This window comes from Homo sapiens, chromosome 1, assembly GCF_000001405.40.
Source record: "Homo sapiens chromosome 1, GRCh38.p14 Primary Assembly".
Classification (NCBI taxonomy): domain Eukaryota; kingdom Metazoa; phylum Chordata; class Mammalia; order Primates; family Hominidae; genus Homo; species Homo sapiens.
Genome location: NC_000001.11, coordinates 182,791,886 through 182,816,856, shown reverse-complemented (window position 1 = coordinate 182,816,856; position 24,971 = coordinate 182,791,886). Strand labels below are relative to the sequence as shown.

General features: G+C 42.3%; 1 protein-coding gene across 5 annotated transcripts in view; it reads right to left on the bottom strand.

Moving 5' to 3' along the window:
* Positions 1-24,971, bottom strand: part of NPL (N-acetylneuraminate pyruvate lyase) — a 40,612-nt gene that overhangs the window by 13,528 nt on the left and 2,113 nt on the right. For 4 of the 5 annotated variants that reach the window (NM_030769.3, NM_001200056.2, NM_001200052.2 and 1 more), the window contains exons 2-8: positions 24,571-24,625; positions 22,418-22,501; positions 13,086-13,159; positions 10,625-10,712; positions 4,644-4,701; positions 1,999-2,074; positions 51-143 (exon numbers count right to left, since the gene is read on the bottom strand). In NM_030769.3, the coding sequence (NP_110396.1) occupies positions 51-143; positions 1,999-2,074; positions 4,644-4,701; positions 10,625-10,712; positions 13,086-13,159; positions 22,418-22,485 (457 nt within the window). In that variant the 5' untranslated portion in view covers positions 22,486-22,501; positions 24,571-24,625. Of the gene's footprint in view, positions 1-50; positions 144-1,998; positions 2,075-4,643; positions 4,702-10,325; positions 10,713-13,085; positions 13,160-22,417; positions 22,502-24,570; positions 24,626-24,971 lie in introns of all 5 variants that reach the window. The other variant, NM_001200050.2, reaches the window with a different exon arrangement.

Below are 24,971 nucleotides of genomic sequence, written 5' to 3'. Positions count from 1 at the left end.
TAAGATGTGAGAGTTGGAAGGAAAGAAAGATCAACAGAAGCAGTACTTACTCTTTACCCCTGTCAAGGCAGGAATGTGATAGTAATAAAATGGCAGGGCAGGGGCGGCAGCAGCCACTTCCTTTAGGAAATTAATCAGGATATCTGAAAGAACAGTAGGAACAGTCATGGTGTGAACAGGTGTAAAACAGTGGCTTTCCTGGTAAAAAAGAGAATCATCTGATGAAACACAACCATGTTTCTCAGAAGCCTCAAATTCTCAACCACTTTTACTATCCCTGCTACTGCTACTGCAATGTTTTTGCAACTCACTTCCTTCAAGTTTTATTTTCCTTTCTGTAGAAAGCCCAAAGTAAGACGATTATTCTCCTACCATACTAAACTCTATTAAAAAATTGATGAAAACCTTCCCATATATTAAGAGATGATCATGAAAAACAAGTCCATCATGTGAGACTCTTGTCGTCTTACCCCAAAAAGGCTAAGTGTGAACAGTAAACAACAGAGACTACTATAGGATAATAATAAGATTTTAATTGAGAAAATCCTGTAACAAAAAGATAAACAATATCTGCTTCAAGAGGGAAATTATAGCAGTAGTGGCACATTTTGCAAGAATTCCAGCAAAATTTGGTACTTTTCCCTTTGGGGAGAAATCCAGATACATCAAAAGAGAGCACACTCTGGTTTGCTGAGTAAGTGGGGTTTCCTGCATCATCTCATGTGAGCTTCGCCTGCAACACTACTGCAGATGATAGGTCCAGCAGCACTCCTCCTGCTTTGGATGCCACTGGGTAATAGGAGAATTTTATGTACTTAATACTGTTACGATGTGTATTCAAGTCTATGATAATATTTCTGACAAATTATTATGCATATATTCATTATTTTTCCTTTTAGGAAACATATTCACGTAAAAATTTGTAAAGCCATGTGAAAAAATTTTTAAATGTTGGGCTGGACACAGTGGCTCATGCCTGTAATCCCAGTACTTTGGGAGGCTGAGGCAGGAGGATCAAGGCCAAGAATTCAAGATCATCCTGGGCAACATACCAACATCCTGTCCCTATAAAATTTTTTTAAAAATTAGCTTGGCATGGTGGCATGCGCCTGTAAGTCCCAGCTACTTGGGAGGCCAATGGAGGAGTGTTGCTTGAGCCCAGGAGTTTGAGGCTGCAGTGAGCTATGATCATGCCACTGTACTCCAGCCTGGGCAACAGAGCAAGACCTCATCTCTAAAAAATAATTTAAAAAATTTTTAAAACTTTAAAAATGTTCATTTTAAACTCGCAATTTATAAATATTAAATTGCTTACCTAAATGAACTATTTTCTATGTATCAATAATAGCTGATATTTCATGATGATTTAGACCTATTCTGCATTTAATTACGGATTTATTTAATCATGTAGGCAAATAATGTCTGTTTTTATCCTTCTAAAATTTATACTTCTTTTTTTGCTAATCAAAAAGGATTAAAAAGACTTGGTATACTTAGACACCATAAATAGTTTCTGCAGAGAAGACAGTAGAGAAAGAGAAAGCAATACTTTGGTATTCTAGAAGGCAATGAATATTTCTGTGAAATCTCTTAAAATTCATCATTCACTCAACCTTGAATAGGATGTGTAGTCTCAAAATGCCCATCACTTATATTCTTCTAAGAAAAATGGTCCCATGCTTTGCCATGTGACTGACACCCTATGCAACTCACTGGTCTAGGAGCAGACACTTGACCCAAACAGGCATCTACAGATCAACCAGGCTCAGTGGATGACCCAATCAGATCAATTACTGGGCAAAAGAACTGAAGTACTTTAATGCAGTCTCTTTTATGGATCCAGGGAGAGCAAATATTTCAGAGAACCACTGTACCATTGCGACTTCAAGCCTCCAATCTATAGTGCTTTACTTTCACAAATTAAATATAACCATTTTGAATGGAGGCAAGAAGAAGTGGACCATGTGAGATGCCATGCATTCAGACCTATCTACTTACCTTTGGTCCATGGCTTGAGGAAGAACGGTGCAATGACAGCGATGCCATCAGCTCCTATTTCTGCTGCATGTTGGGCCTTTAAAGGAAGAAAGAAGACCATATTGGAGCAAGTGATTTACTATAGTCACCTATAGCTTAGATACTAAGATCAGTAACAAGCTCTTCAAATTTGCTAACTGATGTACCACTGGAAAGTGGGAAAATTAACCAAATTTAATGAATGTCATTGCCAGGAAAATCCCAGGTCGCAAAGTAGAGCTCCCCGATGAAGGTGAGCTGTGCACTTAATCTTATACTTCATATTTTGTCAGTACAAAAAACCTTGCTAAGGAGACGTAAGTGGTTCATTTTGATAAGTTATAACAGTTAATCGAGATATCTGCTCATGTAATTTCTGTTCTGTTCAGCCCATTGATGATACTGTCTTTTCTGTCCAATGACAAGACAGTCATATTGTAAAATTTGTATTAGATTGGGAATGCAGTTGAGACATGCTGAAAAGGAAAAGATTATATACATCACAGAAGATACTCTGCACCATGTTTCTGATATTTTCTCAAATTCCTCCAGAAAAAAGTAACATTTCCTCTTGCTGGACCCTTATAACACTATGTATCTATTTCAAATAAAGTACCTAAACCTACCAGGTTCTAAGGCAGTTGTGTATGGTGACTGTCCTCCAACTAGAGTGTAAGTCCCTCAGGGCAGGGCTCAGATCTTGCTTACCCTTGAGTCCAGGTCAATCATGGTGCTGGGCACATAGCAAGGAACCAGTAGATACTTGTTGTTTCAGAACGTGCCCCACTATCTAAAAAGGGAAAAGGGCCTTCCTTCTGAGACTTTGACTTGTAATATCTATATCTAATAGATGTGATTATCTTTCTGCAGAAGTAAACTAGAATAGTTAAAAGGAGAAGACTGGGATATAGCCCAATTAAGGCACTGGGAATAATTTCATTAACACAGGATCAGAATGTGACATATTTAAATCATTTGCTTACTACTCTGTTTAGAAAAAGAGTAGATTAACCTTAGCTGAAAGCAAGGAAAGAGGAAACACCTAAGAGAGTTGATGGCAGTGTCCATTCAAGCATCATCCAATAAAGAGTTATGGCTAAGCAGATACCGATGTTATTATCTCTTTGGCAAGACTACCCCTATACCAGGAGATTATCCCTATTCCAGAGGATTATTCATTCCAAGATTACCTCTATACTATTCGGGTGTTCAGTCCAATGGATGATACTGTCATTCATGTCATTACATGATAATATTTTAAAATTTGTATTATACATTGGAAAAGCAGCAATTGAAAAGAGAGAAAAAAGAAAAATATACCCTACACCACACTGCCTTAGTTGAAAAACCTTTTGTAAGAGAAGCAAATCAAATGTAAGAGGAATAAATCAAGTCTCTAAATTCTGATTCCACACTTATTATGGCTAATGATAGATATTCCTTTGCATCTTGCCTAAAGCACTAAGTTGCAATTTTTTGCAAATATATTATACATCCCATTTCTAAATCTAAATAGCCAAAACAATCAAACAAAACCCATTAAGAAGAAGCTGGGCCAGAAAAAGTCATTGTAATCTTTAGAGGTAGAATATCTAAGTTCTGGAAACTTGGTTAATTTATAGCAGTCCAGGTACAGGGCCTTCTGATAAACAATTTTAAACATCTTTGTGCTTTTTTTTTTTTTTTTTGAGATGGAGTCTCACTCTGTTGCCCAGACTGGAGTGCAGTGACACGATCTTGGCTCACTGCAACCTCCGCCTCCTGGGTTCAAGCAATTCTCCTGCCTCAGCCTCCTGAGTAGCTGGGATTATAGGCGCCCACCACCATGCCTGGCTAATTTTTGTATTTTTAGTAGAGACAAGGTTTCACCATATTGGTCAGGCTGGTCTCAAACTCCTGACCTCGTGATCTGCCTGCCTCGGCCTCCCAAAGTGTGTGCCTTCTTTTCTTAACCAATTCACCCAGGCCTCAGAATCACCACACCACCTGCTTTTCTGCCAGGAACTTTAACCCCTTCCTCTCTTGCCTCTGCTCCACTTAACCTGCTAATCTCTAAAGTGGGAGCAATCCAATTGTCTCTGTTCTTGTTCCTATATTCTGGCTAAAGAGTGTACCCAGAAAAAAAAAATTCCACAACGGTGCTGAAGGGTGGTATGACAAATTTATAACTTACAACTTAAGTTGGTCTTCAGCACCACCAAGCAATCCTTTTGTGTTTTAGCTCCCTCCTTTCTCCAATGCAGAATTCACATTTGCCATTCTTCAAGCCTTTACTCTATCCTTTGTCCCTCTGTGCCCTGCAGATGGCACTGCCTTCTACTTCCCAGAGAAAACTGAAATTGGCTCAGTTCTGCTCCTTACCTGCAAACTCAGCTACAGCTGCATCCATCCTTACTCTCCTTGGAGGAAGGTGCTTCCATCTCCTATCCTACAGTCATCATCACCTGGAGCTACAACCTTTTCTTTATGGCTCAATGCCTGCTTCTATGCAGTAAGCCCCTGAGATCCCACACCTTATTTCTTCAGGCACACCATCTACTACATAGCAAATATAGTACTGATTTTAACTGCGGCATAAAAATGGAGGCCCCTTGAATGGTCTCTCCCAGATGGAACTGCATACATACCAGTTCCTGTGACTCCTTCAAGCTCAGTGCTCCTACGTGAATTATCACCTGATCCAGCCTGCAAAAGAAAAAACACTGCTGCATCGCTTAGAGTTTAGAGGCATGCAGAAGGGCTGCACTATCCTGGTTTGTGCTGATTTTAGCAGTTAACTGATGCCTTATTAATCTCACTTATTAAGTTCTATAGCAATATATTTAATCTACTTAAAGGGGCTTATGGTGATCTTTTTAACCTAGGTCATTGATATCAAAGTCTTGTCATGTTACTGAGAGGTTGGTTGTGATTTGACTGTGCCTAGGATGATTCTGATTTCACAGCAGAGAATATTCAGCCCCCAAAGGAGGTATTTAAAGGCAAGGTTAAAATGGTATTCATTTCTTCCTTTCTGTAGGAATACAGCCATTTCTGCAATGACTTCATTTAGAGCCAATGGGAAGGTGGTATGTTTATACAGTATCATGGAGGTTTCATGTTACCAACAGCAGAAATATATGCTGAAAATCGTTAAATGTGTACAGAAATGGGATTCATCTCTCATTAAGTTAGAGGCAGAGGATCACAAAGATAATTTAGTCCGAGCCCATTATCTTAAATTGGAGTCTGTAGAAATTCGTCTTATATACATGCTTACAAAAAACACTTCTAAGTTGTGATAAAACACACAAAATTTAAAAATCAATTATAGGTTAGGTGCAGTGGCTCATATCTATAATCCCAGCAGTTTGGGAGGCTGAGGTGGGCAGATTGCGTGAGCTCAGGAGTTCAAGACCAGCCTGGGCAACATGGCAAAACCCTGTCTCTACCCAAAATACAAAAAATTAGCCAAGTGTGGTGGTGTGTGCCTGTAGTCCCAGCTACTTGGGGGCTGAGATGGGAGAATAGCTTGAACCCAGGAGGTGGAAGCTGCAGTGAGCCAAGATCACACCACTGCACCCCAGGCTGGGCAACAGAGCAAGACCATGTCTCAAAAAATAATTAAAAATAAAAATAAATAATAAATTCTAATGGAAAGAAATGACCTAGTTTAATCATGTTTAGAATCAATTTATGTGTCAGATATTACATATGATTTTTGTAAGTAAATGATATTGCACATATTTATGTAAAAGTGCTTTGCATATATCTGGCACTGGCTAATTGTTGACTTAGATCAAATGTAAATTTAAAAAAAATCAAGATGCCAATGGTGAATCAAGCACTAGGGAAGAAATCTAATTGAGAGGTGGTACAACATAGCTGTTAAGAACTTATATCCCAGAGTTAGAGTCTTGAGCTTGAATCCTGACTGTTATGAACCAGCTGTGAACTCCTCAGAAAGGCACTTAACACCTTTACACCTCAATTTCCTGGAATAATTCAGATAATAACATTACCTGTCTCACAGGGCTATTGTAAGGATTATGTGAGTTCATGCAGGTAAAACACAGCATGGTACATGACACAGTAAATGCTTAATAAATATTAGCAGTTATTACTGTTAAGCCTTAAGAATAGAGACTTAAAGAAAAAAAAAACAAGTTTGGGAGGAAAAAAAGAGAAAAAAGAATAGAGCCTTTTAATGCTGCAAAACTACAGAAAACAGTAAAGATAAAGAATCATTAGGGATTTTAAAAAATGTCTAGGGAATAGAATTTAAGGTTCAACCAAGCAGAACTTGAAAAGCAATAATTGATTAATCAATACATGAGTACTTATTTTGGTTAAGCATTGTTTTAGATGCTGTATTTGGTGGTATCACATAAATGAAGATAGGTATGATACTGGGATATTTTTGGTTGGAGAGAAAAATAAAGAGTTTCCTCAAAGAGTAAAACCAGGAACTAGTCCTGTGAGAAGTGAATTCACTATAAAAAGCAATTTCCTATTTTGCAAATCTCCTCAGAATTTGGCCAAAAGGCGATATTTGTTCTGATACCCCGATGTTCATTTTTGGGGGTATACCATGTTCCCATCTGGGGAGAGAGAGGCCACAGTGAGACTGGTCATCTCAAAGTGGGATTAATAATGTTCAGCTGTGAATGCAGTCTTCCCAGTGAATCTTCTGAAGGACCTTGAATAACACATGCCCTCATGAGACAGAGACACCACATTCCTGTTTAGGCCCAATCACAGAGTCCTCCAGGGGTTCTTGGCTAGCTATGTCTTAGGTAAAACAGGACCTAGCTGAGAAGTGACATGATCAGGTTTGTATTTTTAAAGGATAATAGAAGACTTCTGAATGGAGAAAGGAGGGCTGACTGACCTGTTGAACTCTCACCAGCAGTTTTATTGCACGACCCCTCCCTTCACTACCCCTTTCTCTTGGTTTAGGTGAAGCCAATCATCCATTTGCTCTTCCTCTTTCTCCTGGGCTGCTAGGCACAGCTACCACTGTTGGAAATTTAAAATACACATTTCCTAGTAATCTCCCAATCCAGGAGGAGGCTCCAACGAGCCTTCTGGCTGTCATGACTCATTTCTCTGGAGTGGCTACTCCAAATCTTGACTATTCCTGTCAAGTTCTAAATTCTACCCAACTCCTTGTTCTGGGCAGATGTCCTAGAGTCCCAGAGACCAAAGATGAAGAAGCTTTCACACACAGACTCCCTTATCCTTCCTTCTCTCCACCTGTGTGTGGGGCTATATCACCATTTGCTTTCCTCCTAGCTTCTCAACTTTTTTTTTTTTTTTTTTAAGATGGAGTCTCACTCTGTCGCCCAGGCTAGAGTGCAGTGGTGCAATCTCAGCTCACTGCAACCTCCACCTCCAGGGTACAAGTGATTCTCCTGCCTTAGCCTCCTGCTTAGCTGGGATTACAGGTACCTGCCACCATGTCCGGCTATTTTTTTGTATTTTTAGTAGAGACGGGGTTTTGTCAGGTTGGCCAGGTTGGTCTCAAACTTCTGACCTCAGGTGATCTGCCTACCTTGGCCTCCCAAAGTGCTGGGATTACAGGTGTGAGCCACTGTGCCAGGCCTTCAGCTGTCTTCTAAAGCTACTCCGTCTACTTTGGGTTGTGCGGATGGTCCCCAACTTATGATGGTTTGACCTTAAAATGGGGTGAAAGCATCATTACACTCCCTGACTTATGACAGGGTTATGTCTTTAAAACCCAATGTAAATTGTAAGTTGAATGAATTTCTGATCAATCCATCAGGATGTAATGCTGTCATCAGTGGAGGAACATCTGTATGTCAAACCCCTAGCCAAATCCCCCTATCCAAGACCTTCCATCAAAGGTATCAATTCACCACTTTTTTTTTTTTTTTTTTTTAAGACAGGGTTTTGCTCTTTCACCCAGGCTGGACTACAGTAGTGTGATTTTGGCTCACTGCAACCTCTGTCACCCCGGGCTCAAGTGATCCTCCTGCCTCAGCCTCCCAAGTGGCTGGGACCACAGGGGCATACCACTATGCCCGGCTAATTATTATTTTTATTTTTTATAGAGACAGGGTCTCTGTATGTTGTCCAGGCTGGTCCTGATCTCCTGGGCTTAAGCAATCTGCCTGCCTTGGTCTCCCAAAGTACTGGGATTACAGGCATGAGCCACTGCACCCAGCCAAGGTTTACCAGTCTTTTCTGTATCTTTAATCTCTTCTTCCATGGCAGTGTCCTTTCAGCACAGAAACACGCTCAACATTTTTCCACTTAACAAAACTACCCTTCTTTCAATCTTGCCTATTCCTTCCTTCCTAATGTATGACTCCATCTCTCCTTCCCTTTGCCAGAAAACTTTTTGTGAGGATCAGCTGCACTCACCGCTCCCACTTGCAGATGTCTGCTGCATTCTATAACTCAACTGCAGTCTGGCTTCTCTACAATAACCTGACTGGCCCTGCTCTTTCAGAGGTCATCAGTGACTTCCTATGATGTGTCAAACCTAGTGGTCTTCTCAGTCTTTCGTGTGCTGACTTTCATGGCATCTAATAGTTATTATAACAAACGTTATAATGAACATAGCATTTACTGCATCTAAATAGTTACAATGAATTCTTACATTAGCGTGAATGTGTTATGTGAACTGTGCCTGCCAGGCACTTTTCTAATCCTCACTACAACCTCATAAGTGAGATATGATTATTACTTCTATTTTAGGGATGAAGCACACAGAAGTTAGGTGATGTGCCTGAGTTCCCAGAGCTAATAAGCAGAGCTGGGCCTCTAACTCAGGCAGTCGGGCTCTATGGCCCCTGCTACACTGACAGTCTCTGAAATCATTCTCTTCCCTGGCTGCAGTGACAGGACTCACTCCCAACTGGCCTCCTACCCTCTGAGGGCTTTCTGTCTCTGCCTACTTCCCTGTCCCTCATTTTTGGTACTGTTCTTTTTTTTTTTTTTTTTTTGAGATGGAGTCTCACTCTGTCACTCAGGCTGGAGTGCAGTGGCGCGATCTTGGCTCATTGCAAGCTCCACCTCCCAGGTTCACGCCATTCTCCTGCCTCAGCCTCCTGAGTAGCTGGGACTACAGGAGCCCGCCACCATGCCTGGCTAATTTTTTTTTTTTTTTTTTTTTGTATTTTTAGTAGAGACGGGGTTTCATCCTGTTAGCCAGGATGGTCTCGATCTCCTGACCTCGTGATCCGCCCGCCTTGGCCTCCCAAAGTGCTGGGATTACAGGCATGAGCCACCATGCCCGGCCAGTACTGTTCTTAATGTGTGCCCTTAGCCCTCCTGTTTTCACACTCTGCCCATGGTCCTTAATATTTTTGGACCCTAGATCTCACGAAATTAACTGAAAGCTGATGACTCACCAGAGAATGCTTCTGTGGATATGCACTCAAATTTGGCACATAATTTCAGAGTACTGGAGCTGCCCTGAAGCCATTAAGGATTCCCAAGGTCATCATGGGCTTCACACTGACAACCTCTGCTCACTTGGAACTTACCTCCAATCTTTTACCTCCACCTAAGACAACGTCAATTACTCCCTTTTTTTTTATACATTCATCAGAAGGGTTGGGGTGTTAGTTTTCATGATCTAACACCCCTACCGGATGGTCAGCAACCTGAAGGCAGAGCCCTTACTTTATACTGCTGGTGCCTAGCACAGTACATAACATATAACACTGTAACAGACAAATCAATAAAACTTAGTTGGCCGGGTGTGGTGGCTTACACCTGTAATCCCAACACTTTGGGAGGCCAAGACCGGTGGATCACGAAATCAGGAGATCAAGACCATCCTGACTAACACAGTGAAACCCCATCTCTATTAAAAATACAAAAAATTAGCCAGGTGTGGTGACATGCGCCTGTAGTCCCAGCTACTCGGGAGGCTGAGGCAGGGGAATTGCTTGAACCCCGGAGGCAGAGGTTGCAGCGAGCTGAGATCGCGCTGCACTCCAGCCTGGGCGACAGAGCAAGACTCCGTCTCAAGAAAAACAAAAACAAAAACAAAAAAACAAACTTAGTTAAACTGGAAGTGCTATGGAACTGATACTATCCTGTTTGTTCAACCATGGCATGAATTGGGTGTTACAAAAATTTATCACTGCATGGAAGTTTATGGGCTACAGAAAGTCCTCCAACAGCGCAAGAGGAAGCACCATAAAAGAGCACATTGAGTTGGATGCACAGAGACCTGTCAGGAGAAGTGGGCCAATACAAGCATCAGGCGCTCATCCCAAGAAGGGAAGGGGTGTGAGTTGCTCAGTGGAAGAGCCAAGTGACCAGCAGAGTCCGTCACCACCCTCCCCTCTTACCTTTCAGCCCAAAGACGGGTAACTGTGAGGGGACTGGCCTTGTAGACAGGTAAGAAGCAGTTTCCCAGCGGAACCTCTGGGTGGCAGGTGTGTCTAGCAGTTTGGCTGCCCTTCTGCACAGAAAGGGAGGGGGCTCTTCTCCAAGAAGCCAGGATCCCGGGGGCCCTGCTCATCTTCCCACCAGCTGACCTCAAGCCCCGGCTCTGACCAGGAAGCAGGGAGGGCGTATCCTCTGGGGAAGAGGCTCACTGAATACAGCTGTTGCCAAAGGGCATTTTTATCCTCATGCAGCCACTCACTTGTCCTTCCCTTTTGTCACCCACTCCTCTGCAACCTGGCGACGCTCTGAGACGCTCAGGGACAGGCCTTCTCCTGTTGTGCCATTCACTGTTCAAACAAAGAGTAAGTCAGCAGGACCAAGGAGCACCTCTGCTTCTCCAACCCCGAGTCTGAAAGTGCAGGGTCAGAAACCACTGCACTGAGGATGGTCAGGAGGGGAAAATGCCATGTTTCCATTTTCACTTCAGACTCCATCTTTTTTCCACTTTCACCTTGTCAAAGGCAGTGGGAAGGTTAATTGTGACTTGTAATTATAAATCTGACCTTGATATTAGGGACAGTCAGGAAATATTTTAAATAAAGACAGAGATGACTGCCCACATTTTACGTCAATCTCCAAACACACTACCCAGTTTTATATCTGGGCTTGAATGGCAGGGAAATCAACACTATCTAGTACCAGGATGTCAAATAAGTGGGAGTTACTCATGCGGGTGCTTTTGTATACTACAGATCTCAAACTATCTCCATTTACAGTTTGACATGATGGTAGTGCTCTAGGACAACTCGTTTTTTAGATAAATATTTCATAAATAAGCACAAAGGATATTAATATTTCTTATACCAAGTGCTCTTACATATCCACTTACTCTCACAACAACCCAGCAAAGTAGAAATTATTTTTCTCATTTACAGATAAAAAGATAAAGTCTGAAACAGAAAATAATTTAAGTTTGAATCCAGAGTTGTGTGATTCCAAAACTCATCATCTTTCCTCTTTTCCTTCTACTACAATCATTTCTATTTTATTTCATTTTTTTGAGACAGAATTTTGCTCTTGTCGCCCAGGCTGGAGGGCAGTGGCGCCATCTTGGCTCACTGCAACCTCTGCCTCCCAGGTTCAAGTGATTCTCCTGCCTCAGCCTCCTGAGTAACTGGGATTACAGGGACCCACCACCATGCCCAGCTAAGTTTTTGTATTTTTAGTAGAGATGGGGTTTTGCCATGTTGGGCAGGCTGGTCTTGAACTCCTGACCTCAGGTGATCTGCCCGCCTCAGCCTCCCAAAGTGCTGGGATTACTGGTGTGAGCCACCACACCCGGCCTACTACAATCATTTCTTAATGGATCACAGAAAGATGCCTATGGCAGTAGGATACATTACTGAGGTCTCATGCATATGGTGGCACTCTGAATCTCTAAGCACTCAGCACTGGGTTGGAAGAAGGGAGGTTGGGGAGGCAGGGGAGGGAAGTCGGAAAGTATTTTTAACCACTTCTTTGAGGTCTTGACTTCAAGTATACTCTGGTCATAGGGATATTCCTGCTTTTTCCTCATACCCAGGGGAGATCTGCTGCCCTTTGTTGAGTAAGAATCTGCCTTCTCCACTATGGCTTAGCGCTGTAGAGGGACATTGAGTGGTTTTGTAATCAGGTCTCAGTTTTGACCTGTGGCCCAGGACACTTTTTCCACACAAGTTTTAATCTGCTCTGATTATTATTACCAGGTACCTCTGGCTCTGGAGGGGCTCCTGTTGGTAGAGCAGTAGGTCAGGACCAAGGTGTAGTGTTCTCAGAATAAAAATGCATCCAAGGGTCCGAGAGCCCAGAACACTAAGCAAGGGACAGCTCAATCGCAGGTAAGTATAGCTGTCAGGCTTAAAATGTTCAAGATCTAATTTTTTAAACTTTCACTTCTATGAAATAAAAGGGGATAACTACTAGTCCTGTGATTTCTTTGTGTGCTACACTTAGAGTCTTTCTTCCATTCACAATTTGAAAGGCCAGGGGAAGACAGAATAAAGCCCATTCTTAAGAGAGAGAAGAGGCTGGGCGCGGTGGCTCACGCCTGTAATCCCAGAATTTTGGGAGGCTGGGGCAGGCAGATCACCTGAGGTCAGGAGTTCGAGACCAGCCTGTCCAATATGGCAAGACCCTGTCTCTACTAAAAATACAAAAATTAGCCAGGTGTGGTGGTGTGCGCCTATAGTCCGGCTACCCAGGAGGCTGAGGCAGGAGAATTGCTTGAACCCGGGAGGTAGAGGTTGCAGTGAGCTGATGGTGCCACTGCATTCCAGCCCAGGGGGAGATAGAGCAAGACTCCATCTCAATAAATAAATAAACAAAAGAGAGAAGAGTGTTTAGTTGTTACTTAAGAGGGTTTGGTTGTTACTCTACCACTTCTTGGCTGAATGGCCTGGGGCAACCTAGAGTATATCTGAGTCATATATTTTCATCTCCAAATGGGGATAAAAAATAATACCTTAAGTGTTGGCACACTATCAAATGAGGTAATCTCTTGAGGTGCTTTGTAGGTCTAAGATTGGTGGGCCTACAAATTCACAAATTTTAGTTAGCTTAGCCAGGCTCCATCATAACCTGTGACACCATGACTGTGTGACCTCTTGGCTGGTAACCAGGTAAGATATACCTTCTAAAGACTGAGCTGGAGACATGCAGCGACATCCCCAGAGTTGACTTACCAAAAATGTTCTTCACTCCCTGTTCTTTCACAAGATAATCCACATACTGACCAATTACTGAAAAGTTGATTTCTCTAGAAGACATGTGGAAAAAAAGGCATATTTAGTCTTTTTCAGATTATTATTCAACAAATGCTCAGGTATATAAACTGCTCCCTCTTGCTAATAGTTATTAAAAATCCACTCAATTTGTGAAATTCTTAGCCTGCTGTAAATAATGCCTGGGGTTTTTTTCCCCCCCTGAATCTGGTGATTTCTTCACTCAGCCATGTATGCCTCACTTCTGTGAGCAAAACACTGTTAGTTATCAACAGAGGCTTTATATTTACACCTCATGACAAGCAGTATTTAAAAAGTAGTTAACGAACTATCTTTTGCCCAACGCTCTCTCTTTAAAGTCCATATGGCCACACATCTTTTGCCCTTTTAGGGGAAGATTGATGGTTGCAGACATGGTTAAATGAGAACTTAACATTTGCCATTTGATCCCAAGTACTGGGATTACAAGTATGAGCCATCATGCCTGGCCTGTCCCTTCTTGCGTTTTCCCACCCTACTCTTAGGGTACTTAGGTCTATTTTCATCGCTGGAGGCCATTATCCATGATCAATTATTAGGAAGTCATTACAGAGGATGGAAACATTCATTTCTTAGGCTCACAGGATAGGAAAAGTCAATCTTAATATTATAAGAATTTTAGCACTTAATATTTGGGACAAACATGGAGTCTTAAACCCATCTGTATTTGCTGGTTTTACATTGAACAAGGTTAGCAGTTAGAAGGGAACTTTGTCATCACTTTGCCTCTCAAAGGCGGAACAGCAGCATCAGCATCTGGGGGACTTTATTAGACACATGGAATCCCAAGCCCCACACAGTCCGGCCCAGTTAGAATCTGAATTTTAACAAGATCGCCGTGTGATCTGCATGCACTTGGCAATTTGAGGCACACTAACCTTGTAAGGATCTGATGCTTAAGGTTAAGATCTCTTAAAATCATATTGATTTCAAAATCTAAAAACTGACTCCTCACAAGTTGTATTAGGCAACCTGTCCTCAATCAAAATGCAGGAGGGGAATGATGGGCAATGAAGAGTGAAATTCAAAGGAAAATGGTGCAGCAAGCCTGCATTAAATGGTTACACTGTGCCCATGGTTACCCTGCCAAGAACACAGAGTGCTAGCTGGCTGCCACCGCACTTTTGTCTGTAGGGCCAGAGAATCCTAATTGAAGTTTGGCCTTATTAACATTCTTTTCACCTTTACCTATGGTAATTCCTTAAACAACAAAAACAAAAAAAAAAATCTGATGCATCTAGGAAACAAAGGCATCAAAATGTACATGTCAAAAGGCATAAGAACAAAATGAGGAAAGATAGAGAACAGCTGACTCTGAGTTTAAAAGGAAAGCTATTAAATGCAAAGAATGCACAGGCAATCATGCCTATAACAAGCTCAGAGAAAAGATAGCAGGCCTGAGCCTGCCACTTGGGAAAAGGTGTGTTAATGCAATTATAAAGCCTATAAGGGGAGCGAACTCCCTCATTATGGCACATGCCTCCATATCCTAACACTGCTCCCTCCTGACCTCTGTCTGCACCTGGAACAGCCCAGGTGTTCAGCAAAGGCTGGGCAAAGGAGTGGTGATGTGGGAACTTACAATGATGAAATCACCACAAGCTCTGCCTTTACAAGCAGGTTAGCACCACGCTTGCATAATATTTTGAAATTTCACTATTACATTAATTAAAGAAGATAGTATACGTGATTAAAATAGCAAAATATAATGAAGGTTATGACTGAGGCAAAAAGTAATTGTATGGGGGCTCAGAAGAGGACTGATAAATGACAGCTAGGGAGGCTGGAAAGAAGACATTGGATAAATAGGACAAAACCCTATGTCCTCCTTCCCTCCAACATTTTTTTGTTTTTTTGGAGACAAGGTCTCACTCTGTCGCCCAGGCTGGAGTGCAGTGGTGTAATCGTGGCTCACTGCAAGCCTTGACCTCCTGGGCTCAAGTGATTCTCTTGCCTCAGCCTCCCAAGTAGCTAGGACCACAGGTGCAGCTAACTTGAAAATTTTGGGTAGAGATGAGACCTCACTATGTTGCCCAGACTGGTCTCGAACTCCTGGGGTCAAGCGATCCTCCTGCCTTAGCCTCCCAAAGTGTTGCGATTACAAGTGTGAGCCACTGAGCCCGACCCCTCCAACATTCTTGAGAGATACTGTTTGCTCTGTCCTATTCTAGTATCATCCTCTTTTTAGGGAGTTGGCTGCACCCTTAGGCAGGTCTAGGCCAGTATGTGAAACTAGAAGCTCCTTTTTTCTCCATGAACTTCACAGTTTTGATGGCCTCAGTGGATAGTGCTTCGACCTACCCTCACCTCTCTCCCTCAGGCCTTGCTGGGAGGCAGGCTATTCAGCTGACAATTTCACTCAGGGTTAGAGGTCTAATGGGTTTTGCATTATCTGTCCCTTCAAGAAAGGAGAAAGTAGGTTGCTGCTTCTTATAAAATGCCCCTAACCTACAAGAATGACACTAATGGCAGAATTTTGGGGGCAGTGGTCATCATCCAGAAAATGTTCTTGGACTTAAGTCCTTTTGGAACTACCAGACCTCTTTAGAGAGATCTAGGTTGAAAAGGGGCTAACTCTAAATATGTTTGACTTTGACGATATTGTATTTTTTCTTTAAAAAAATGAGTATTTGAAAAGCCAGAAAAATCTAACAATGTCAGGGCTGCTGGGCATGGTGGCTCATGCCTGTAATCTCAGCACTTTGGGAGGCTGAGGTGGGTGGGTCACTTGAGGTCAAGAGTTTGAGACCAGGCTGGCCAACATGGTGAAATCCCGTCTCTACTAAAAATGCAAAAATGAGCCAGGCGTATTGGTGGGCACTTGTAATCTCAGCCTGTAATAGGGATGCTGAGGCAGGATTGCTTGAACCCGGGAGGTGGAGGTTGCAGTGAGCCAAGATAGCACCACTGCACTCCAGCCTGGGTGACAGAGCGAGACTCGGTCTCAAAAAAAAAAAAAAAAAAAAAAGCCAGGGCTACATTTCCATACAGCTGGAAATTAGAAAAAGCAGCAGTAGGCCCTACTTTAGAGGACTGGATGCCCCCAGGTCCCTCAGGCATTTCAGATCCCTGCCTGACTCTGCAGGTGCAAGTTTGCAGCCTTGGGCTGGGATGCTCAGCAGCTCCAGGCACAAGTGGGGGTGAAATCATCCAGGGCTGCTACCACATTTGTTACATAGGTACCCAAAAGGCAGGGTTAGGGCGAAAATAATTCTCCTTGAGGATTCTGTCCGTTTTTTTTTTTTTTTTTTTTTTTTTGAGACAGGGTCTTGCTCTGTCACCCAGGCTGGAATACAGTGGCACAATCACGGCTCACTACAGCCTCAATCTCCCAGGCTCAAGTGATCCTCTGGCCTCTGCCTCCCCAGTAGCTAGGACTACAGGTGTGTGCCACAACGCCCAGCTAATTTTTGTATTTTTTGTAGAGACAGGGTTTTACCAGGTTGCCCAGGCTGGTCTCGAACTCCTGGGCTCAAGCAATCTGCCTGCCTCGGCCTCCCAAAGTGCTGGAATTACAGGTGTGAGCCATCATGCCCAGCCTGTCCCTTCACTTGTTTTCCCACCCTACTCTGATGGTACCTAGGTCTATTTTCATCACCAGAGGCCATTAACCATGATCGGTTACCAGGAAGTCACTAGAGAGAATGGAAACAATGAGATTGGATTATTCTTCTGCCCACCCACTGGGCATTTGGAGCTCAGTGCTCACAGAAGTGAGTTGACAGAAGTCAATTCACTTGAATAGGCTGCACAGCACCTTCTCTTCTTTCATGAGCCCCAAGAACACATCTAACAACTGGGCACATCAGGGGAGAGTGACCCAGAACCAAATTCCATGCTTGCTGTAGTCATTTTTATATTTAAACCCAGTTTAATGTCTTAATTTCAATTCCTGGGGATTCAGATTCTTTGCGTTGGGTTTAGATTCATGCCTTGGGGCTTTTTTTTTTTTTTTTTTTTTGGAGACAGGGTCTTGCTATGTTGTCTAGGCTGGCCTCAAACTCCTGAATTCAAGTAATCCTCCCACTTCAGCCTCCCAAGTAACTGGGACTACAGATGTGTGCCACTGTGCCCCACTAATTTTATTTAACTTTTTTTTTTAATTACAGGAGCTATATAGTTTACTTTAGAAAGTACATACAATAAAAAAAGAAAACCCACTCAGGATATCTCTGGAGATGATTCCTCTTAGTTTGATATTTTTCTATTCACAAATACACATTATATTTTCTTGTATAAATATGGCCGTATTAGACACAGTTTTATACTTTTCATTCAGCATTCTAATTTTAACATCTTCCCACATTTTTAGATGGTCCATTACTATACCGGCTAAACAACATTCTATTTTATGGATGAGTATAATTACTTTTTCTAATTGTCTGTTCTAATTCCTTTTTCTAATTGTCTGTTTTTAGACATTTAGTTTGCCCAAACTACATAAGCGGAAGAAAGTCTTCTGTTCTTTTTGCCACAAATTGAGGTCCAGAGTGGGTGGATTGTGAAACTGCAGGTAGACTCTACAACTCTTCTCTTACGGTAAAAGGGTAATAGAATTTTTCCTAAGTGGCTTTTCAGGGAGAAATCCCTATTGCTGTTTGTTTCCTCTCCTGGTGCACGAACCACCATGAAAGACTTTCACTTCATCTGAGAAGACAGAATCCACAGGACAGGCTATTTTCATACCTGACATGATGTGGCATGCATATCAGAAAATCTGATTTTCCATTTTCTTTTGCCTTTTATACATATCTCTCAGCATTCAATCAGATAGCAGTTATATGCACTCTTGGCAAAACAGCCACTGGTTATTTTAAAATTCTTTCAGCAGGGAGGCAGGCAGGGACTAACCTGCCCACCCTGTTGGAGGTGGAAAATGTTCTGTTCTGGGAGTCTGGGTCCCCTCGTCTCCCAAAGACTGTTAAAAAGACAATAATCTATGCCAGTCTGACTCTAGCAGGCCAGGCCTTTCCTCACTGGGGTAACAGCTTTGTTTTTACCAGAGGGTATTGTGAAGATTCCCCAGGGTGATGCCAAGAACATTTGAGGGAAAAAACACAACTTTTTTCTCGACATTTTAGATCTGAAATGGACTTTCTGGTCTAATGACTGTGAGCCTGCCCAAAGAAAAAGTGAGTTCTTAGAACAAATAAGGAAAGCAAGTCTTGGCTGGCGCAGCTGCTCATGCCTGTAATCCCAGCACCTTGGGAGGCCGAGACGGGCGGATCACTTGAGGTCAGGAGTTTGAGACCAGCCTGGCCAACATGATGAAACCCCGTCTCTACTACAAACACAAAAATTAGCCGGGCAGGGTGGTGCATACCTCTAATCCCAGCTACCCGGGAGGCTGAGGCAGGAGAATCACTTGAGCTTGGGAGGGGGATGTTGCAGTGAGTCGAGATTGTGCCACTGCACTCCCGCCTGCTGCGAGACTTTGTCTCAAAAAAAAAAAAAAAAAAAGCAAGTCTTTCATTAGACTTACTAGTGTATAAAAAGGCAAGGGTTGGATAGGTAGAGAAATCCTACCTTTCTAGCTGTGTGGCTTGGGGCAGCTGGGCTAGCCTTTAGGATCTCCGTTTCTTCAACTGCCAGGACAGAGATACCTATGGCTCCCTCACATAGCTGTTGTCAAGATTAAGTGGGAACATGTAAATGAAAATGCCTGCATGATGACTGACATAGCATCAATCAGTGTTTGCTTCCTTCCCTTTTTCTCGACTATCAGCACTAGTAATTCCTGCAGTATATTCACTCATAAAATAACAAAAGCTACCACAACTATGCCACATGCTTAAGATATAAGATAAATAAGATAATTTCTCAGTTCTTGTATATTATTGGCATTCAATATCTATTGAACAGGGCTAAGCAGCTCAAAGCCTGCTGGAAGACATAGACAAGTAACAAAAAGTTATTGTAATAATAAACAAATAATTCTGATGCAATACAAAAAGGGTGCTATGGGATCACAGGGGAAGAGTATGGACAGGGTGCTATAGAAGGGTCATCTAACTCCTTTTAAGAGAATTGGGGAAGAATTTCTAAGGATGGTTTTGATAGATGAGTAGAAGTGTTCAAGTGGAGCAAGAAAGAAGAAGATGGTGGTAGAAAAAGGCAGAGGAAAGAGAATGAGTGAAGGCATGAAAGGCAGAAGAGGTATGGTGACAAAGAAATGAAGCAGGAAAGGTAAACTGTGAGGACTTCCTATGCCATCCCAGGGAGTCTGGGCTTTAATCTTTAGACCGGCTCATCTCAGACTTTAATGCGCTAAAGAATCATCTGGGACACTGTTAAAATGCAGGACTGATCTGTAGTATGATACAGCCCGAGCTTGTGCATTTCTACCAAGTTCCCATGGTGGTGGAGCAACTGGTCCATGGGCCATATGATGGGTAGCAAGGCTTAGACAAAAGAGAGTCAAGATTCCTAAAGAGGAGAGTGACATGATCAGATTTATTTACTAGGAAGCTCACTGAGCTACAGTGTGGACGATGGACTGGAATTATAGGTACTTTATACATTCTTATTTAATGGTGATCCCCACAATATCCCCAATGACATGAGAGGACTGCAGACTCTTAAGAGTTGGAAAGGGTCATAGAGATAATGTGGTTGAACTTCCTTTGGAGAATATGAAAGAGCTTTTTTTTTTTTTTTTTGAGACATATTCTCACTCTGTTGCCCAGGGTAGAGTGCAGTGGAATGATCTTGGCTCACCGCAACCTCTGCATCCCAGGTTCAAGCGATTCTCCTGCCTCAGCCTCTTAAGTAGCTGGAACTACAGGTGTGCGCCACCACGCCAGGCTAATTTTTGTATTTTTAGTAGAGAGGCGGTTTCACCATGTTGACCAGGATGGTCTCGATCTCTTGACCTTGTGATCCGCCCACCTCGGCCTCCCAAAGTGCTAGGATCACAGGCATGAGCCACCGTGCCCGGCCGAGAGAGCTCTCAAAAGGTGACAAGATCTCCCCAGGGTCGGAGAGCTAACTAGTGGCAAAGCTTGGGATCCAGGACTCACATCATTTCACTAAGATCTACTTACCCATGTTCTTTCTGCCAGCTACCCTACTCCAGGACATCAACTTATATGCAGAAAGCTGAATTGTTACTGAGCTTTCATTGGAATTGAGAAGAAAAAAGGATATAGGGAAATAGTCCTTGTTCAGCCACTCAGAATTATGGAGGATATGTATATGTACATGCCAGGTTAGGAGAACTCCCACAATGGCAGGTCACCTGGCAGTATTTCCAGGTATTAGATTCCATGTGCCCCTTCCTTCCATCTCATGTCTTAGAAACATGCCAGAAGTGCAGATTCCCTTGTGGGTAAGTACATTAAAGCCTACGTGTTCTTGGTGGGTGTTCCAAAGCTACTTTATACCTACAGGAATGTTTGATGAAGCAGGTGGTGGGAGAAAAGGGAACTAACATGGCTCACATGCCTACTCTGTGCTATACACTGACCTACACTATTTATTTCTTAAAGAGCCTACACATAATGCATTCTTTTTTTTTTTTTTTTTTTTGATTTCACACCTTAGGAAAGTAAGGTTCCTAGAAGAAAAACGCAGAATTGATGAGAAAATAGTAAAATGGATGCAGCAGGACCACAGATTTTTGGGAAACGGAAAAAGATCCAGAAAAAGTCATTTTAGTTATCTCTATCATGGGATCTGGCCTTCCAGGAAAACGGCAAAACAGGGAGGAAGAACACACTGACATTGTCCGTGGGTCCCTGATGAACAAACAAGACTGTTTTAAGAAGCCACTTCCAGGATAAGAGGGGTCTTATTAAAAGGTTAAAGTAGTATGGACCAGATGCAGTGTTAGGAGATTACAGAAAGGATCTCACTCTGTAACAGGAAGTAAATCCTGCCGATTCATGCAATCACATGTCTTCTGTTTGATCTGCGAACAAGTGACTGATGCATTGAGAAACAGCTGATGCCAGTCTTTCTTAAAACTTGTGGAAAGGGGAAGTAACAGAAAAAAAATTATTATTAACCAGCTGAGTAATCTAAATGCCGTATCAGCAAGAATCTTATTTAGACCTAGTAAGGACGTGATTTTTCATGGATCTTAGAAGCCAGAAGTCTTGGACTCATTGGAGAGTCTCTAAGGTAGAACTGCAAAATGGCCAACTTTGAAGGAGAATACTAAAAGACATGAGAAATTTCATCTCCTTTAAAAGGGTAAGATGAACGTTTATAAATTCAGCAACAGAAGACCAAAAAGAAAGTCCCTTGTAAAAGGTGTACTAAATACATCTTCCTTTTGCCTCTGCCTTATGACATAAAGGCAGTTCAAACTTTTTGACCTAAGTGCGTATTGACCCTGTGCCAAGCACTGTTGTATGAATTATCTCATTTAATGCTTATAATTCATTATGTAGGTATGATTATTATTATAATATTACATAGAAAGAAAGGAGAAGCTTAAATAAGCCAGCATTCTAACTTTTTGGCAGCCTGACTCCTCTGACAGGTCAAAAACATATAGATCCAGGAGGTGGATGAACTCTCTTTTGTCAGGGGTGATGTTCAAGGAGGAGTTATACACAGTGCATGGCTCCCTATGTCACAGGGCCTTTTTGTTATCTGATTTTTTAGCAGAAGGACTGCCACTGTATTCATCTGGAGGTCAAAATACTTGCTTGGGGTAATGATTAGTCAACAACGGACTGTTGTTACTTCCCTTCCCCCGCTGCCCAACATCTAGTCAATGTTGAAATGAGGCTGTAAACAGGAAAAAAGAGTCCATCTTGCAGATAACCTCCCACTTTCCTCAGGGTAGGACATTTTTATCAAGTCTATGAACAGCCTGAAGTGGAATCATGCTGACGTCCAGAGACAGCATCCTGAGAGGGCCTAGGTCAGTGCTTGATATCCAATTATGCTAAAATGGGATTCTCATCCAATGCTACTGGCCCTGTTTAGAAAGGCCAAGGCTGTGGTGAAATCCAAGGAGAATTTGCTCTGTGGTGCTACAGACACTGGGAGAAAGGCAAGCTGCCATTTCTCACCTTCTCCCTTTCTGCAAGGTGATATAGTGCTTCTCTGACTTTGGGGTCAGAGATATAATGCCTCCTCAGACTTGGGGATCAGAGACAGTGCAGAGGGATGACAGACAGAAGCTGCCTTTTGGCAACAGTTCTACAGAGGTGCAGGGTCTTAAGTGACTGTTGTTACAAAGAACTTCTCTCCTTTTTGGTTGAATGAGAACTGATCCCCTCAAGGCCCCAAATGATAGTTACCCATTCTCAGTCATTGGCGTGATGGTTGCAGCCACAAGACCCTGAAGTTTCTTCTTTGGGAAGGCCATTGAGCTGCTGGTAGGTCTGGAAAACATACAATGTAATTTCTCTCTTTCTTCAAGGAATGTCAATGATAAAACTCCCAGGCAAAGTCCATTTCTAGTTTAGAACTGTAAAATGTGCTTACAAGTACACAAACACACAGAGCAAGTACAAGATGGTAAAATTTTAGTGCTTAATTCTATTGAGGAGGAAACTTTAAGACAGGAGAGGGTAGACTTGAGAAAATACTACGTGGACAGTCTCCCATTTTAGCTATACAGATGATGGAAGCAATCTAACACCTCAAAGGATAGAGGTTAACAGCAGCAGACCCAAGAAAGAGCTTGAACCTAACTCAGGTAAGTAAAACATACAGTGAATTATAGTCATGCCTCAGTATACACAGAAGATCAGTTCCAGGACCTTCGTGTATACCAAAATCCATGCCTACTCAAGTCACACAGTCAGCCCCAAGCCTGGCATATGAGAATTCTGCATCCTGCAAATACTGATTTTCTATCCGTATTTGGTTGAAAAAAATCTGTGTAAATGGACCTGCACACTTCAAATCAACGTAATTCAAGGGTCAACTGTACTATTACTTAAACTGAAATATGGTCATAAAAGGGGACATTTTCTCTTTCCATTGTCTTCATTCTTAGAATCTCACCTAAAACAAGCCTGTCTTAAGGTTTCATCATGATTTACATAACTACCTTCAGATTTACCTATCTTTTTATATCCTAATTTTGCCCAGTTTTGTCCAGTTTTCCTAGTTCTAGTTAACCATGTAGACTGCATATTCACCTCCCTCTTCCCCACTACAGCAGGCTCCCAGGACAGGGATGTTTCATTTGCCTTTGCTCTCTGCAGTGAGCCCTCTGCTTGACACCAGGTGTTCAATTCAAGAGCGAAGAATATGTGGGTGACTGAACGAGGTGTTCAGACTGTGACTGGATGATGGCTTCCACAGATGGGTAGCGCACTGCTGGAAGAGTCCAACTCACACCACTCATTTGGGGCCAAAGGATCTCTCACCATCTGGCAGAGAGTGTACCTGCCCATAATCAGTGTAAAAGACTCTGGATGGGCCACAAGAAGCAACAGAGCAGACTGGTTAACAGCCTCAGTTCCATAGGCAGACCACCTGGTTCAACTCACAGCTCTGACATTTGCTAGTTCTAGAAGCATTATTGTTTTTTGAGCTATAAGACATAAAAAGCCACAAATGCAATTTCAGACCACAAATTTAATGTCTAACAATTGAAAATGAAAATAAAATATAATCAGATAGTATTTGATGACAATTCTACAAAAGATAGTGGTCTTGTAGCAAATAAAGTGATGTCTGTAGGTGACCAACAAGAAGGGTTATGCTATAGTTCTGACATTACTGGCACATTCAAAAATGCAATGCCCACTATACTTAAATCTAACCCACATAATGTAGTACTTAGTTATAAGCTATCTTGTTTTGTTTGCTCTTCTAATTGTTCATCTTATCTTCCCAAATAGGAGAATAAACTTCTGAAGTACAGAGACCATATCTTCTATTTTTCTTCCCCAAGAGTCTTGGCTCAGGTAAGCCCTTGAGAAACACTGACTGTTTTCAGTAGAAAGACAACACGATACTTTCCTTGCAAACAGACATGTTCTCAGCAAGAGTTGCTCCTAAAATCAAGACCAAGTCCTGCATGTAGCTTTGCTCTGTATTTCCTAGTTCAAACATGAGACTAAAAGCAGATTGGAAGTTTAGAAAGATGAATCCAATAACCTGGCCCATGGGAAAACACAAGATAATAAATCATAAGATGTGGCTCTAATCACTCTTTGAGCTTCATGTGACCACCCTCAGTACAATAAGCAGGCCACTTAGCCTCTGAGCCTTAAAGGCCCATAACCTAAGCCATCTCCCCACTGGAGGGATGTTTAAGTATCAAAGGAGATTGATGCTATGCCTGCTGTATATCTTCACCTAGCACTCCCACAAACATCTCAACTTAACATGCCCAAAGGGACCTGCCATCTCCTTTGTTCCTTACTGTAGAGGGGTGAGAGGGCCAGCTCTGGAGTCAGACCTCATGGATCTGCATCCTGGCTCCACCACTTACCAGGTAGGTGACCTTGAGCCCATTAAGTAACCTCTTTCTGCTTCAGTTTCCCCTTCTGTAAATGAGGATAATAGTAATTATATTTCATAGGGTTGAGAGAATTAAATGAACTAATTCATGTAAAGTGATTAACAACAATGCTAGGCACATAGTGAGTACGTGTTCAGTGCTCTCCATGAAGTCTTGCCTGATGTGTATAGGACAGTAGAAAATACTATCATGCCCTTACCAGCATCATCTTCCCAGTCATCTCTGCTCTGCTAGTGCCTCCTTTCCAACACTCACTACTCTTGTCTATTTAGGGACTAAGTCATTTCAATTCTGTTATCTTCTTCCCCTGCTATTCCTCCTTTCGCCTTTATAATTTTTCCCTTCGTTACCTCTTATCTAGACAAATAGGC